The following is a 16546-nucleotide window of genomic DNA, read 5'->3' as shown; positions in this document are numbered from 1 at the left end:
AGGTTAAAGCGATTCTCCTGCCTCAGCCTCCCGAGTAGCTGGGACTACAAGCACGAGCCACCACGCCTGGTTAATTTTTTGTATTTTTAGTAGAGACGGGGTTTCACCGTGTTGGCCAGGATGATCTCGATCTCTTGACCTCATGATCTGCTGCCTTGGCCTCCCAAAGTGCTGGGATTACAGGCATGAGCCATCGCGCCCAGCCAATTTTTGTATTTCTGGTAGAGACAGGGTTTCACCATGTTGGCCAGGATGGTCTCAATCTCTTGACCTCGTGATCCTCCTGCCTCAGTCTCCCAAAGTGCTGGCATTACAGGCGTGAGCCACCGTGCCTGGCCATTTATTTTTATTTAGTTATTTTGGAGGATAGAGTCTCCTCCTGGGCACAAGTGATCCTCCAATCTTGACTTCCCGAGTAGCTGAGACTATAGGCTTGCACAACCACGCCCAGCTCCTTTTTGTATTTTTCATAGAGCTGGGGTTTCACCATGTTACCAAGGCTGGTCTCAAATTCCTGAGCTCAAGTGATCCACCCACCTCGGCCTCCCAAAGTGCTGGAATTATAGTCGTGGGCCACCGTGCCTGGATGATAACTGATTTTTTTTTTTTTTTTTTTGAGATGGGGTCTCGCTCTGTCGCCAGGCTGGAGTGCAGTGGCCCTACAATCTCAGCTCACTGCAGCCTCTACCTTCTGAGTTCAAGGGATTCTCCTGCCTCAGCCTCCTGAGTAGCAGGGATTACAGGCATGTGCTGCCACACCTGACTAATTTTTGTATTTTTGGTAGAGACGGGGTTTCACTATGTTGGCCAGGCTGGCCCCAAACTCATGACCTTAGGTGACCCACCCGCCTCGGTCTCCCAAAGTGCTGGGATTACAGGCCACTGTTCCTGGCCTATAACTGATATTTTTTTTTTTTTGAGACAGAGTCTCACTCTTGTCACTCAGGCTCGAGTGCAGTGGTGCCATCTCGGCTCACTGCAACCTCTGACTCCTGAGTTCAAGTGATTCTCCTGCCTCAGCCCCGGAAGTAGCTGGGATTACAGGTCCCCACCACCACACCTGGCTAATTTTTGTATTTTTAGCAGAGACGTCGTTTCACCGTGTTGGGCAGGTTGGTCTCAAACTCCTAACCTCCGGTGATCTGCCTGGAGCCACCACTTCTGGCAACTGATTTTTTAAAAGACAAAAACTTCAAGCATCATCTGGTCTCTCCTCCAGCCTGGAACAGTGTCTCTGGCTGTCCACCGACTCTCCATACTCCACATGCCCACAACTGAATTTGTTTCTTTCCCCACCCACCTTAGATGTCTTCAACAAACCTGCTTCTGTCCTAGTGTCCCCCACCTCAGGGAATGTTGCCCTCATCTCTCAGTCACCTCCCAAAGACCCCTAGAATATCATCTCTTCTCTAACCCCCACTGGTCCAGATCATCATCATCTGCCTCTGTCACAGCCAGTGCCTCCTAATTGGTCTCCCTACTTCCTGTCTTGCTGCCTTTGAGTCTTCATTCTTAATTCTTTTAGTGGCCTCCTATCCCCTTTAAAAAAAATTGCTTGTGAACTCCCCATCATGGTCTATAGGACCTGGCACTGGGATCCTTTCTTTACTTTCTTTCTTTCTTTTTTTTTTTTCGAGACGGAGCCTTACTCTGTCACCCAGGCTGGAGTGCAGTGGCGCAATCTCGGCTCACTGCAACTTCTGCCTCCCAAGTTCAAGTGATTCTCCCACCTCATTCTCCCAAGTAGCTGGGACTACAGGCACATGCCACCACACCTGGCTAATTTTTATATTTTTAGTAGAGATGGGGTTTCACCACGTTGGCCAGGCTGGTCTCGAACTCCACCTCAGCTTCCCAAAGTGCTGGGATTACGGATGTGAGCCACTGCGCCTGGCCTTGACTTGCCTTCTTTCTGTCTCTCTAGTCCAGCCACACTGGCCTTCCTAAAGTTCCTCCAACACATGGATTTCACAGCCTTTCCCTGTTTCGCCAGGCCAGGCACCCTCTTCCTCTGGATCTTCAGCTGCCTCCTTTGCATCTCCCAGGTCCCAGCTCCTCAGCGTGGTCTTCGCTGTTCTCATTGTCTCAAGCTGTGCCTTCTCCCCAGACACTCTTACCTCCTTTATAGCCCTTACCCATTCCTGACATATCTTGTCCCCGTCTGTATCTACAGTTCCCTCCCCTCCCCTCCATACATATATACCCTGCAATGGAACCTCTGTGAAAGCAGGGACAAACTCGATTTTATTCATGGTAGGACTCCCCCAGCTCCTAGAATATTGCTTGATACCTAGAGAGCACTCAAAAAATATTTGAAAGCCTATTAAGGACTGCCTGTGTTTTTGTATCTACTTCCCCACCCCCCACAGCTTACCCCACCCTTCTGCATCCACATTCTCAGAAGCCAGAAGCCACTAACAGATGGAGAGTGAATCAGAAAAGGAGGCAGAGAGAGAAAGGGAGGAAATTCTGCCAGTTGGTGCAAAAAAAAAAAAAAAAAAAGACTAGGATGAATCTAGATGCAGCAGTCAGGTGTATCACCTCCTGCTCCACCCCACCGCACCCCTACCCTCACCCAGGGTCCACCACCGCAACCAAAACAAAAGGCAAGGCCGGTTGCGGAGACTCACAGCTGTAATCCCAGCACTTTGGGAGGCCAAGGCGGGTGAATGGCTTGAGTCCAGGAGTTTAAGGCTGCAGTGAGCCATGATCAGGCCACTGCACTCCAGCCTACATGACTCTGTCTCGAAACAACAACAACAACAATAACAAACCTTCCACTGACACTTACCACCCACTCACCTTACAGAACTCAGAGCCCAGTCGGTGCTGCCTCCCTTGTCGTAGGACCTTCATTCCTTTGTTAAGGCTCTCTCTGGGCCTCAGTCTACTTATCTGTGATGGTGACCATTATGCAACTAAACTTAAGCCTGATGAGACAGAAATAATTTGATAAAGGCTTATTGGAAGGCAAATGTGAGAATTGACCCAGGAAGACACACCAGCAGAGTTGGGCATGTTCCCGAGTCTGTCCCAAGGACAAAGGTTTTTACAGGAAAGTTTAAAACAAGGGCGTGGGGTCCTCATACCAGAATTGTCCTCTTTTTTTCTTCCTTTTCTTTTTTTTTTTTTTTTTTTTGAGACGGAGTTTCGCTCTTGCCCAGGCTGGAGTGCAATGGCGTGATATCGGCTCACCAAAACCTCCACCTCCCAGGTTCAAGTGATTCTCCTGCCTTAGCCTCCTGAGTAGCTGGAATTACATGCATGCACCACCATGCCCGGCTAATTTTGTATATTTAGTAGAGATGGGGTTTCTCCATGTTGGTCAGGCTGGTCTCGAACTCCCGACCTCAGGTGATCCACCTGCCTTGGCCTCCCAAAATGCTGGGATTACAGGCGTGAGCCACCGTGCTCGGCCTTTTTTTTTTTTTTTGAGACGGAGTCTCATTCTGTTGCCCAGGCTGGAGTGCAGTGGCGCGATCTCAGCTCACTACAACCTCTGCCTCCCAGGTTCAAGCGATTCTCCTGCCTCAGCCTCCCAAGTAGCTGGGACTACAGGTGCATGCCACCATGCCGGGCTAATTTTTTGTATTTTTAGTACAGACAGAGTTGCACCGTGTTAGCCAGGATGGTCTCGATCTCCTGATCCACCCGCCTTGGCCTCCCAAAATGCTGGGATTACAGGTGTGAGCCACCGCGCCTGGCTTTTTTTCTTTTTTTTAGAGACAGGGTCGGTCGGGCGCGGTGTCTCACACCTGTAATCCCAGCACTTTGGGAGGCCAAGGCGGGCAGATCATGAGGTCAGGAGATCAAGACCATCCTGGCTAACACGGTGAAACCCCACCTCTACTAAAAATACAAAAAGTTAGCTGGGCGTGGTGGCGGGCGCCTGTAGTCCCAGCTACTGGGGAAGCTGAGGCAGGAGAATGGCGTGAACCCGGGAGGCGGAGCTTGCAGTGAGCCCAGATCGCGCCACTGCACTCCAGCCTGGGTGACAGCTAGACTCCGTCTCAAAAAAAAAAAAAAAGAGACAGGGTCTCACTTCGCTGCTCAGGGTAGAGTACAATGGTGCAATCATAATTCACTATAGCCTGGAACTCCTGGGCTCAAGGGATCCTCCAACCTCAGCCTCCAGAGGTGCGCTTCAGTTAATCTTAAAAAAAAAATAAATCAGCGTCCCATTTAGTGTCCCACAGGTTACACATTGATCAGTACAACAATTTGAGAAATTTACAATGAGATTTTTTGCTAGTATGTTCCTATTGTTCTGTACAAAAAAGAAAAAAACGGAATCTTTTTTTTTTTTTGAGACAAAGTCTCACTCTGTTGCCCAAGCTGGAGCACAGTGCAACCTCCACCTCCCGTTTTCAAGCGATTCTTCTGCCTCAGCCTCCTGAGTAGCTAGGACTACAGGCACGCGCCACCATGTCCAGCTAATTTTTTTATTTTTAGTAAAGACAGGGTTTCACTATGTTGGCCAGGCTGGTCTTGAACTCCTAGCATCAAACGATCCGCTCTCCTCAGCCTCCCAAAGTGCTGGGATTACAGGCGTGAGCCACCACACCTGGCCTGAAAAAACAGATTCTTTTTGTTTTTTCTGAGACAGAGTCTCATTCTGTCACCCAGGCTGGAGTGCAGTGGCACCATTTTGGCTCACTGCAACCTCCATCTCCTGGGTTCAATCGATTCTCCTGCCTCAGCCTCTTGAATAGCTGGGACTACAGGCCCTCGCCACCGCACCCGGCTAATTTTTGTATTTTTAGTAGAGACGGGGTTTCACCATGTTGTCCAAGCTGGTCTTGAACTCCTGACCTGAGGTGATACACCTACCTCGGCCTCCCAAAGTCCTGGGATTATAGGCGTAAGCCACCGAGCCCAGGCGAAAACAGATTCTTTACTGGGAGACAGAATGTCACCATTGTGTCATAAGACTTCTCCAAGGTGGTTTAATTTGGAATCCTGCTTACTTTCAAAAGTGAGCTGAGGGTTATCAAATAATAACTACATTTATGAGCACTTCTGCTCTACCAGGCATGATGTGGACACTTGGCATAAGCACTGTTGGCTCATTAGCGTGTAAGCTCCCTGAGCCAGTGACCACCTCCCAGCTCAGTGTCAGGGATATCACAGGCACACCCAAAATCTTACTCTTCAATATCTTTCCTTTTAAATTATTTCATTTTTAAATTAACTTTTAATTTTTTATTGTGATAAAATAGACATTACATAAAGTTTACCATTTTAACATTTTTTTTGAGACAGAGTCTCGCTCTGTCACCCAGGCCACAGTGCAGTGGTGCAATCTTGGCTCACTGCAACCTCCGCCTCCCAGGTTCAAGCAATTCTCCCATTTCAGCCTCCAGAATAGCTACTCCAGAGTAGTAGGACTGCTGGCGTGCACCACCACACCCAGCAAATTTTTGTATTTTTAGTAGAGGCGTTGTTTCGCCATGTTGTCCAGGCTGGTCTCAAGCTCATGACCTCAAGTGATCTACCCGCGTCGGCCTCCCAGAGTGCTGGGATTACAGGCATGAGCCACTGTGCCTAGCCAGAATTTGACTGTGCTAAGTGCTTCCTATAAGTAGTATTGTACAATATTTGTCCTTTTGAGTCTGGTTTATTTAACCTGGCATAATGTGTTCAAAGTTAATTCATGCTATGGCATGTTTCAGTACTTCATTCCTTTTTATGACCAAATAATATTTCCATTGTATAGACATCCATTGATTTGGTGTATCCATTTATCCTTTGATGGACATTTGAATTGTTTATACTTTTTGGCTATTGTGAGTAATGCTGCTATGATGCTATGAACGAGGGTGTACGAATATCTGTTCAAGTTCCTGGTTTCAATTATTTTGCGTCTATACCCCGAAGAGGAATTGCTGGATCACATGTTTATTCTGTGTTTCTTTGTTTATTTATTTATTTATTTTTGAGATGGAGTTTTCCTCTTGTTGCCCAGGCCAGAGTGCAGTGGCACGATCTCAGCTCACTACAACCTCCACCTCCTGGGTTCAAATGATTCTTCTGCCTCAGCCTCCTGAGTAGCTGAGATTACAGGCGTGCACCACCACGCCCAGCTAATTTTTTGTATTTTTAGTAGATTCAGGGTATCCTCATGTTGGCCAGGCTCGTCTCGAACTCCTGACCTCAGGTGATATACCCACCTCGGCCTCCCAAAGTGCAGGGATTACAGGTGTGAGCCACCGCACCCTGCCCTGTGTCGATTTTTTTCCTTTTTGTCTTTTTTTTGAGACAAAAAAAAGTCTCACTCTGTTGCCCAGGCTGGAGTGCAGTGACGCACTGTCAGCTCACTACAATCTCTGCCTCCCAGGTTCCCGCATTTCTCCTGCCTCAGCCTCCCAAGTAGTGGGGACTATAGGTGCACACCACCACGCCCAGCTAATTTTTTTTTTTTTTTTTTTTTTTTGTGACAGAGTTTCACTGTGTTGCTCAGTTGCAACCTCCGCCTTCTGGGTTCAAGCAGTTCTGCCTCAGCCTCCTGAGTAGCTGGGATTACAGGCACGCGCCACCACACCCAGCTAATTTTTGTATTTCTAGTAGAGACGGGGTTTCACCATGTTGGTTAGTCTGGTCTTGAACTCCTGACCTCGTGATCCGCCTGCCTCGGCCTCCCAAAGTGCTGGGATTACGGGCGTGAGCCACCATGCCCGGCCTTTTTTGGTTTTTTTGAGAGGGTCTTCATTCTGTCGCCCAGGCTGGAGTGCAGTGATGTGACCTCCGCTCACTGTAGCCTCTGCCTCCCAGGTTCAAGAGATTCTCGTGCCTCAGCTTCCCTAGTAGCTGGAATTACAGGCGCACATCACCAAGCCCACCTTTTTGTATTTTTAGTAGCATTCCAATCTCCCTTGGTTTAATGTAGAGGAAGGGATCCAAAGGCTTAGGGAAATTGGAACGCTAGAGTGGATTAGTCACTTTAGACCTACTCATCCCCACTGGGAGGGTCCAGAAGACCTATCCTTCACCATAGGGTATAACCTTGTGAAACAGATTTCTGAAGGGAGCACCCGTGTCCTTGAAGAGCTCTGTGATTGCTCCTCTCTGTATGCCAGATCGTACAGTGGGAACTGTACTCACTCAATTGGAAAACTTAAACGCAGTGGGAATAATTAAATCCCAAGGTGGCAGGAGCCAAGTGGCAACACTCAACCATCAAAGGCAAAGCAGATGTAGTTACCGTAATGGACAGCAGAGGCAAAGCAGCAATCGGAATAGTCTGACTCGTTGATAGAAAGCCTACTGAATTCTTTTTTTTTTCTTTTGAGACAGAGTCTTGCTCTGTTGCCCAAGTTGGAGTGCAGTGGTATGATCTCAGGTTACTGCATCCTCCCCCTTCTGGGTTCAAGTAATTCTCCCGCCTCAGCCTCCCGAGTAGCTGGGATTACAGGCATGTGCCACCAAGTCCAGTTAATTTTTTTTCTTTTTTTTTTTTTTGAGAGGGAGTCTTGCTCTATCGCCCAGGCTGGAGTGCAGTGGCGCAATCTCGGCTCACTGCAACCTCTGCCTCCCAGGTTCAACAAAGGTTTTTACAGGCTGGGACTACAGGCCCATGCCACCATGTCCAGCTAGCTTTTGCATTTTTTGTAGAGACGGGGTTTTACCATGTTGTCCAGGCTGGTCTTGAACTCCTGGCCTCAAGTGATTCACCCGCCTCAGCCTCCCAAAGTGCTGTGATTACAGGCATGAGCCACTAGGCCCAGCCCAATTTTTTTTTTTTTTTTTTGAGATGGAGTTTTGTTCTTGTCAGCCAGGCTGGTCTTGAACTCCTGGCCTCAAGTGATTCACCCGCCTCAGCCTCTCAAAGTGCTGTGATTACAGGCATGAGCCACTATGCCCAGCCCAATTTTTTTTTTTTTTTTTTTGAGATGGAGTTTTGTTGTTGTCACCCAGGCTGGAGTACAATGGCACAATCTTGGCTCACTGCAACCTACACCTCCCGGGTTCAAGCGATTCTCCTGTCTCAGCCTCCCGAATAGTTGGGATTATAGGTGCCAGCCACCATGCCCGGCTAATTTTTTGTAGTTTTAGTAGAGGCGGGGTTTCGCCATATCGGCCAGGCTGGTCTTGAACTCCTGACCTCAGGTGATCCACCTGCCTCGGCCTCCCAAGATGCTGGGGTTATAGGCATGAGCCATTGCACCCAGCCCACCTGGCTAATTTTTGTAAATTTTTAGTAGAGACCAGGTTTCGCATGTTGGCCAGGCTGGTCTCAAACTCCTGACCTCAGGTGATCCACCTGCCTTGACCTCCCAAGGTGCTGGGATTACAGGCCTGAGCCACTGTCCCTGGCCCAATTTTTTTTTTATTTTTGTAGAGACAGCATTTTGCCATGTTGCCAGTAGTAGAGACTGGTTTCAAACTCCTTACCTCATATGATCTGCTGCCTTGGCCTCCCAAAGTGCTGAGATTACAGGTGTGAGCCACCATGCCCAGCACCTACTGCATTCTTAATTTGTATAAACAGAAAATTTCCAGGTTGAGTGGACAAAAGACTAATTTGAATTATAAAACAGAGACTCGGCCAGGCGTGGTGGCTCACGCCTGTAATCTCAGCACTTTGGGAGGCCAAGGCAGGCAGATCACCTGAGGTTGGGAGTTCGAAACCAGCCTGACCAACATGCAGAAACCCCATCCCTGCTAAAAATACAAAATTAGCCAGGCGTGGTGGCACATGCCTGTAATCCCAGCTACTTGGGAGGCTGAGGCAGGAGAATCGCTTGAACCTGGGAGGCGGAGGTTGTGGTGAGCTGAGATCGTGCTTTTGCACTCCAGCCTGGGCAACAAGAGCGAAACTCTGTATCAAAAAGAAATAGAGAATCATGGTCTCTCAAGCAATTTCCAGACTTGAGCCAGTTTACAGACCCAGAACTCCTTGAATGAAGGGGAGGCCAGGTCCCCTTGAAGAACGACCCCACTACACTATGGACAATTTATACTGCTAATCTTTCTCCCATATTTCCCCACGGAGACCTCTGGGCTAAGTTAATTGTGCATTAGGGAAAGGGGAATAATTAGACCTTTGAGGGAGTACTGGATGCTGGCTCTTAGCTGACATTTATTCCAGGGGACCCAAAACATCACTGTGGTCCTCCAGTTAGAGTAGGGACTTATGGAGGTCAGGTAATTACTGGAGTTTTAGCTCAGGTCCAACTTACAGTGGGTCCAGTGGGTCCCTGTACTCATCCTGTGGTCATTTCCCCAGTGCCAGAATGCATAATTGGCATAGACATACTTAGTAGCTGGCAGAATCCTCACAATGGCTCCCTGAGCAGTAGGGTGAGGGCTATTGTGGTGGGAAAGGCCAAATGGAAGCCATTAGAGCTGCCTCTGCCTAGAAAAACAGTAAATAAAAAACAATATTGGGCCAGGCACAGTGGTTCACACCTGTAAGTCCAGCATTTTGGGAGGCTGAGGCGGGCAGATCATCTGAGGTCAGGAGTTCAAGACCAGCCTGGCCAACATGATGAAACCTTGTCTCTACTAAAAATACAAAAAATTAGCCAGGCGTGGTGGCAGTTGCCTGTAATCCCAGCTATTCGGGAGGCTGAGGCAGGAGAACCACTTGATTCCGGGAGGCAGAGGTTGCAGTGAGGTGAGACTCCATCACTGCACTCCAGCCTGGGCAACAAGAGCAAAAGTCCGTCTCAAAACAAAACAAAACAATATTGCATCCCTGGAGATTTTGCAGAGATTAGTGTCACCATAAAGGACTTGAAAGACAAAGAGGTGGTGGTTCCCACCACATCCTCGTTCAACTCTCCTATTTGGAGAAGAAGGCAGGCGGATCTTGGAGAATGACAGTGGATTATTGTAAGCTTAACCAAGTGGTGACTCCAGTTGCAGCTGCTGAACCAGATGTGGCTTTATTGCTTGAGCAAATTAACACATCTCCTGGTACCTGTTATGCAGCTACTGATTTGGCAAATGCCTTTTTCTCCATTCCTGTCCACAAGGCCCACGAGAGGCAATTCGCCTTCAGCTTGCAAGGCCGGCAATATACTTTCACTATCTTACCTCAGGGGTATATCAACTCTCACAAAGCTGGTATATCCAGCTTTGTGTCATAATCTTGTTCGCAGAGATCTTGATCACTTTTCCCTTCCATAAGATATCACACTGGTCCATTACATTAATGACATCATTATGCTGATTAGACCCAGTGAGAGAGATGTAACAAACACACTGGACTTACTGGTGAGAGATTTGCATGCCGGGGAATGGGAAGTAAATCTGACTAAAATTCAGGGAACCTCTACCTCAGTGAAATTTCTAGGGGTTCAGTGGTGTAGGGCCTTGCCTGTCGAGATATTCTTTCTAAAGTGAAGGATAAATTGCTGCATTTGGCACCTCCTACAACCAAGAAACAGACACAGTGCCTACTGGGCCTATTTGGATTTTGGGGGCAACGCATTCCTCATTTGGGTGTGTTGCTCTGGCCCATCTATCAAGTGACCCGAAAGACTGCCAGTTTTGAGTGGAGTCCAAAACAGGACAAGGCTCTGCAACAGGTCCAGGCTGTTGTGCAAGCTGCTCTGCCATTTGGACCATATGACCCAGCAGATCCAATGGTGCTTGAGGTGTCAGTGGCAGATAGGGTTGCTGTTTGGTGCCTTTGGCAGGCCCCCGTAGGTGAATCACACAGAGGCTTCTAGGACTGTGGAGCAAGGCCCTGCCATCTTCTGCAGATAACTACTCTTCTTTTGAGAGACAGCTCTTGGCCTATTACTGGGCTTTGGTAGAAACTGAACGTTTGACTATGGGTCATCAAGTCACCATGTGACCTGAACTGCCTATCATGAACTGGGTGCTTTCTGACCCATCTAGCCATAAAGTTGGGTGTGCACAGCAGCATTCCATTATCAAATGGAAGTTGTGTATATGTGATCGGGTTAGAGCAGGTCCTGAAGGCACAAGTAAGTTGCATGAGGAAGCGACTCAAATGCCCATGGCCCCCACTCCTGCCACCCTGCCTTCTCTCCCCCAGCCTGCACCAATGGCCTCATGGGGAGTTCCCCCGATGAGCTGACAGAGGAACGGAAGAATAGGGCCTGGTTTACAGATAGCTCTGCATGATATGCAGGCATCGCCTGAAAGTGGACAGCTGCATCACTACAGCCCCTTTCTAAGATATCCCTGAAGGACAGCGGTGAAGGGAAATCTTCCCAGTGGGCAGAACTTTGAGGAGTGAACCTGGTTGTGCTCTTTGCTTAGAGGGAGAAATGACCAGATTTGCAATTATATACTGATTCATAGGCTGTAGCCAATGTTTTAGCTGGATGTTCAGGGACTTGGAAGAAGCATGATTGGAAAATTGGTGAGAAAGACATTTGGGAAAGAGGTATGTGGATGGACCTCTTTGAGTGGTCAAAAACTGTGAAGATATTTGTATCCCATGTGAATGCTTACCAAAGGGTGACCTCAGCAAAGGAGGTTTTTTTTTTTTTTTTTTTTTGAGATGGAGTCTTGCTCTGTTGCCAGGCTGGAGTGCAGTGGCACGATCTCGGCTCACTGCAACCTCCGCCTCCCAGGTTCAAGCGATTCTCCTGCCTCAGCCTCCCGAGTATCTGGGACTACAGCTGTGTGCCACCACACCCAGCTAATTTTTTTGTACTTTCAGTAGAGACAGGGTTTCACCGTGTTAACCAGAATGGTCTCGATCTCCTGACCTCGTGATCTGCCCGCCTCGGGGTCCCAAAGTGCTGGAATTACAGGCTTAAGCCACCGCGTCCAGCCAGCAGAGGAGAATTTTAATAATCAAGTGGATAGGATGACTTGTTCTGTGGACACCACTCAACCTCTTTCCCCAGCAACCCCTGTCATCGCCCAATGGGCCCATGAACAAAGTGGCCATGGTGGCAGGGATGAAGGTTACTAATGGGCTCAGCAACATGGACTTCCACTCACCAAGGCTGACCTGGCTACGGCCACGACTGAGTGCCCAATTTTCCAGCAGCAGAGACCAACACTGAGCCCTTGATATGGCACCATTCCTCGAGGTGATCATCCAGCCACTTGGTGGCAGTTTGACTATATTGGACCTCTTCCATCACAGAAAGGGCAGAGGTTTATCCTCGCTGGAATAGACACTTACTCTAAATATGGGTTTGCCTATCTTGCATGCAATGCTTCTGCCAAGACTATCATCCGTGGACTTACAGAATGCCTTATCCACCATCACGGTATTCCACACAGCACTGCCTCTGACCACGGCACTGACTTTACAGCTAAACAAGTGCAACAGTGGGCTCTTGCTCATGGAATTCACTTGTCTTACCATGTTCCCCATTATCCTGAAGCAGCTGGATTGATAGAACAGCGGAATGGCCTTTTGAAGTCACAATTACAACGCCAACTAGGTGACAATTCTTTGCAGGGCTGGGGAAAAGTTCTCCAGAAGGCTGTGTATGCTCTGAATCAGCATCCAATATATGGTACTGTTTCTCCCATAACCAGGATTCAAGGGTCCAGGAATCAAGAGGTGGAAATGGAAGTGGCTCCACTCACCATCACCCTTAGTGATCCACTGGCAAACTTCTTGCTTCCTGTTCCCATGGCATTATGTTCTGCTGACCTAGAGGTCTTAGTTCTAGAGGGAGGAATGCTGCCACCAGGAGGCACAAGGATTCCATTAAACTGGAAGTTAAGATTGCCTCCTAGGCCAGGTGCACTGGCTCACCCCTATAATCTCAGCACTTTGGGAGGCCGAGGCGGGCAGATCACCTGAGGTCAGGAGTTCAACACCAGCCTGGCCAGCATGGTGAAACCCCGTCTCCACTAAAAATACAAAAAAATTGGCCAGGCATGATGGTTCATGCCTGTAATCTCAGCACTTTTGGAGGCTGAGGCAGGTGGATCAACTGAGGTCAGGAGTTCGAGACCAGCCTGGCCAACATGGTGAAACTCCGTGTCTACTAAAAATACAAAAAAATTAGCCAGACGTGGTGGTGGGCGCTTGTAATCCCAGCTACTCAGGAGGCTGAGGCAGGAGAATCACTTGAACCTGGGAGGTGGAAGTTGCAGTGAGCTGAGATCACACCACTGCACTCCAGCCTGGGCGACAAGAGCAAAACTCCGTCTCAAAAAAAAAAAAAAAAAAAAAGGCTGGGTGCAGTGGCTGACGCCTATAATCCCAGCATTTTGGGAGGCTGAGGCGGACAGATCACAAGGTCAGGAGATCGAGACCATCCTGGCTAACCCAGTGAAACCCCGTCTCTACTAAACATACAAAAAAAAAAAAAAAACTTAGCCAGGCGTGGTGACGGGTGCCTGTAGTCCCAACTAGTTGAGAGGCTGAGGCAGGAGAATCGCTTGAACCCAGGAAGCGGAGGTTGCAGTGAGCCGAGATTGCGCCACTGCTCTCCAGCCTGGGCTATAGAGCAAGACTCTGTCTCAAAAAACAAACATGTGATGTAAGATTTATTACCTTCATATCAGACCGGACCTCGTGGCTCACGCCTGTAATCCCAGCACTTTGGGAGACTGAGGCAGGCCGATCACTGGAGATCAGGAGTTCAAGAACAGCCTGACCAACATGGTAAAACCCTGCCTCTATACTCAAAATACAAAAATTAGCCGGGTGCAGTGGCACACGCCTGTAATATCAGCTACTCAGGAGGCTGAGGTGGGAGCCTCGCTTGAACCCAGGAGGCAGAGGTTGCTGTGAGCTGGGATCACACCACTGCACCGCTGCACTCCAGCCTGGGTGACAGAGCAAGACTCCATCTCAAAAAAAAAAAAAAAATTATCAATTTGATTGGATTGAAGGATACAAAATATTGTTCCTGGGTGTGTCTGTGAGGGTGTTGGCAAAGGAGATTAACATTTCAGTCAGTGGACTTGGAGAGGCAGACCTACCCTCAATTTGGGTGGGCACCATCCAATCAGCTGCCAGCGCAGCTAGAATAAAGCAGACAGAAGGTGGGAGAAGCTGACTTGCTAAATCTTCCAGGCTTCATCTTTCTCCCATGTGGGATGCTTCCTGCCCTCAAATATCAGACTCCAAGTTCTTTGGCTTTTGGACTCTTGGACTTAGACCAGTGGTTTGCCAGGGGCTCTTGGGCCTTTGGCCACAGACTGAAGGCTGCACGGTCGGCTTCCTTAGTTTTGAGGTTTTGGGACTCAGACTGAGCTACTATTGGCTTCCTTTTTTTTTTTTTATTTTTTTGAGACGGAATCTTGCTCTGTTGCCCAGGCTGGAGTGCAGTGGCGCAATCTCAGCTCACTGCAAACTCCACCTCCCAGGTTCACGCCATTCTCCTGCCTCAGCCTCCCGAGTAGCTGGGACTACAGGCACCTGCCACCACGCTGGGCTAATTTTTTGTATTTTTAGTAGAGACGGGGTTTCACCGTGTTAGCCAGGATGGTCTCAATCTCCTGATCTCGTGATCCGCCTGCCTCGGCCTCCCAAAGTGCTGGGATTACAGGCGTGGGCCACCTCGCCGGGCCTTTTTTTTGAGACTGAGTTTCGCTCCTGTTGCACAGGCTGGAGTGTAGTGGCACTATCTCGGCTCACTGCAACCTCTGCCTCCCAGGTTCAAGCAATTGTCCTGCCTCAGCCTCCCGAGTAGCTGGGATTACAGGCGCATGCCACCATGCCCCGCTAATTTTTGTTTATTTTAGTAGAGACAGTGTTTCATCATATTGGTCAGGTTGGTCTTGAAATCCTGACCTCAGGTGATCCGCCCGCCTTGGCCTCCAAAAGTGTTGGGATTGTAGGCATGAGCCACCATGCCCAGCCCACTATTGGCTTCCTTGCTCCTCGATTTGTAGATGGTCTATCATGGGACCTCACTTTGTGATCATGTGAGTCAATTCTCCTTAATAAACTCTCTTTGGCCAGGTGAGGTGGCTCACACTTGTAATCCCAGCACTTTGGGAGGCCGAGGCAGGCAGATCACAAGGTCAGGAGTTACAGACCAGCCTCACCACCATGGTGAAACCTTGTCTCTACTAAAAAAAAAATACAAAACTTAGCCAGGTATGGTGGGGTGCGCCTGTAATCCCAGTTACTCAGGAGGCTGAGGCAGGAGAATTGCTTGAACATGGGAGGTAGAGGTTGCAGTGAGCCGATATTGCTCCACTGCACTCCAGCCTGGGCAACAGAGCAAGATTCCATCTCAAAAAAAGTTTTAAAAAATTAAATAAAATAAAAATAAACTCCCTTTCATATATACATATGTCCTATTAGTTCTGTCCCTCTAGAGAACCCTGACTAATACAGATTTTGGTACCATGTCGGCCAGGCTGGTCTTAAACTCCTGATCTCAAGTGATTCGCCTGCCTTGGCCTCCCAAAGTGCTGGGATTACAGGCATGAGCCACTGTGCCCGGGCTGTGTTGATTTATTTTATTTTATTTTATTTTATTTTATTTTATTTTATTTTATTTTATTTTATTTTTATGTGACGGAGTATCCCTGGAGTGCAGTGGCACGATCTCAGCTCACTGCAACCTCTGCCTTCTGGGATCAAGCAATTCTCCTGCCTCAGCCTCCTGAGTAGCTGGGATTACAGGCGCCCGCCACCATGCCTGGCTAATTTTTGTATTTTTAGCAGAGATGGGGTTTCACCATGTTAGCCAGCTGGTCTTGAACTCCTGACCTCAAGTGATCCACTCACCTCAGCCTCCCAAACTGCTGGGATTATAGGCATGAGCCACCATGACTGGCCCACACCTAGCTAATTTTATAAATTATTTGTAGAGATATCTTTAGGTCTTGAACTCCTGGCATCAAGGGATCCTCTCACCTTGGCTTCCCATAGTGCTGGGATTACAGGTGTGAGCCATAGCAATGGTCTTTATTATTATTATTATTATTGTTATTTTGAATTATTGTCTGGCAGCCTCTTGGGCCAGAGTAGACTCAGAGAGACTCCCGATATATATTTTTTAATAATAGCTATCCTAATGGGTGTGAAGTGCCATCTCATTATGGTTTTGACTTGCATTTTCCTAATGATTAGTGATGCTGAGCATCTTTTCATGTGCTTATTGGCCATCTTTGGAGAAATGTCTATACAGGTCCTTTTGCCCATTATTGAACTGGGCTGGGTTTGTGTTGTTGTTGTTGAGTTATGAGTTCCTTATGTATTATGGATATTAATCCCTTATCAGATATATTATTTACAAATATGTTCTCTGATTCTGTGGATTGTCTTTCCACTCTGTTGATAGTGTCCTTTGATGTACAAGGGTTTTCTTTCTTTCTTTTTTTTTTTTTTCTGAGACGGAGTTTCGCTCTTGTCCAGGCTGGAGTGCAATGACGCTATCTCGGCTCACTGCAACCTCTGCCTCCTGGATGCAAGCGATTCTCCTGCCTCAGCCTCCCGAGTAGCTGGGATTACAGGCATGCACCACCATGCCCGGCTAAATTTTTTGTATTTTTAGTAGAGACAGGGTTTCACCATATTGTCCAGGTTGGTCCTGACCTTCTGACCTCATGATCTGCCCACCTCAGCCTCCCAAAGTGCTGGGAGCCACCATGCCCGGCTATTTTTTTTTTTTTTTTTTTGAGACAGAGTCTC

This window comes from Homo sapiens, chromosome 1 (genome assembly GCF_000001405.40).
Source record: "Homo sapiens chromosome 1, GRCh38.p14 Primary Assembly".
In the NCBI taxonomy this organism is placed as follows: Eukaryota; Metazoa; Chordata; class Mammalia; order Primates; family Hominidae; genus Homo; species Homo sapiens.
Note: the sequence above shows the minus strand (reverse complement) of the source record.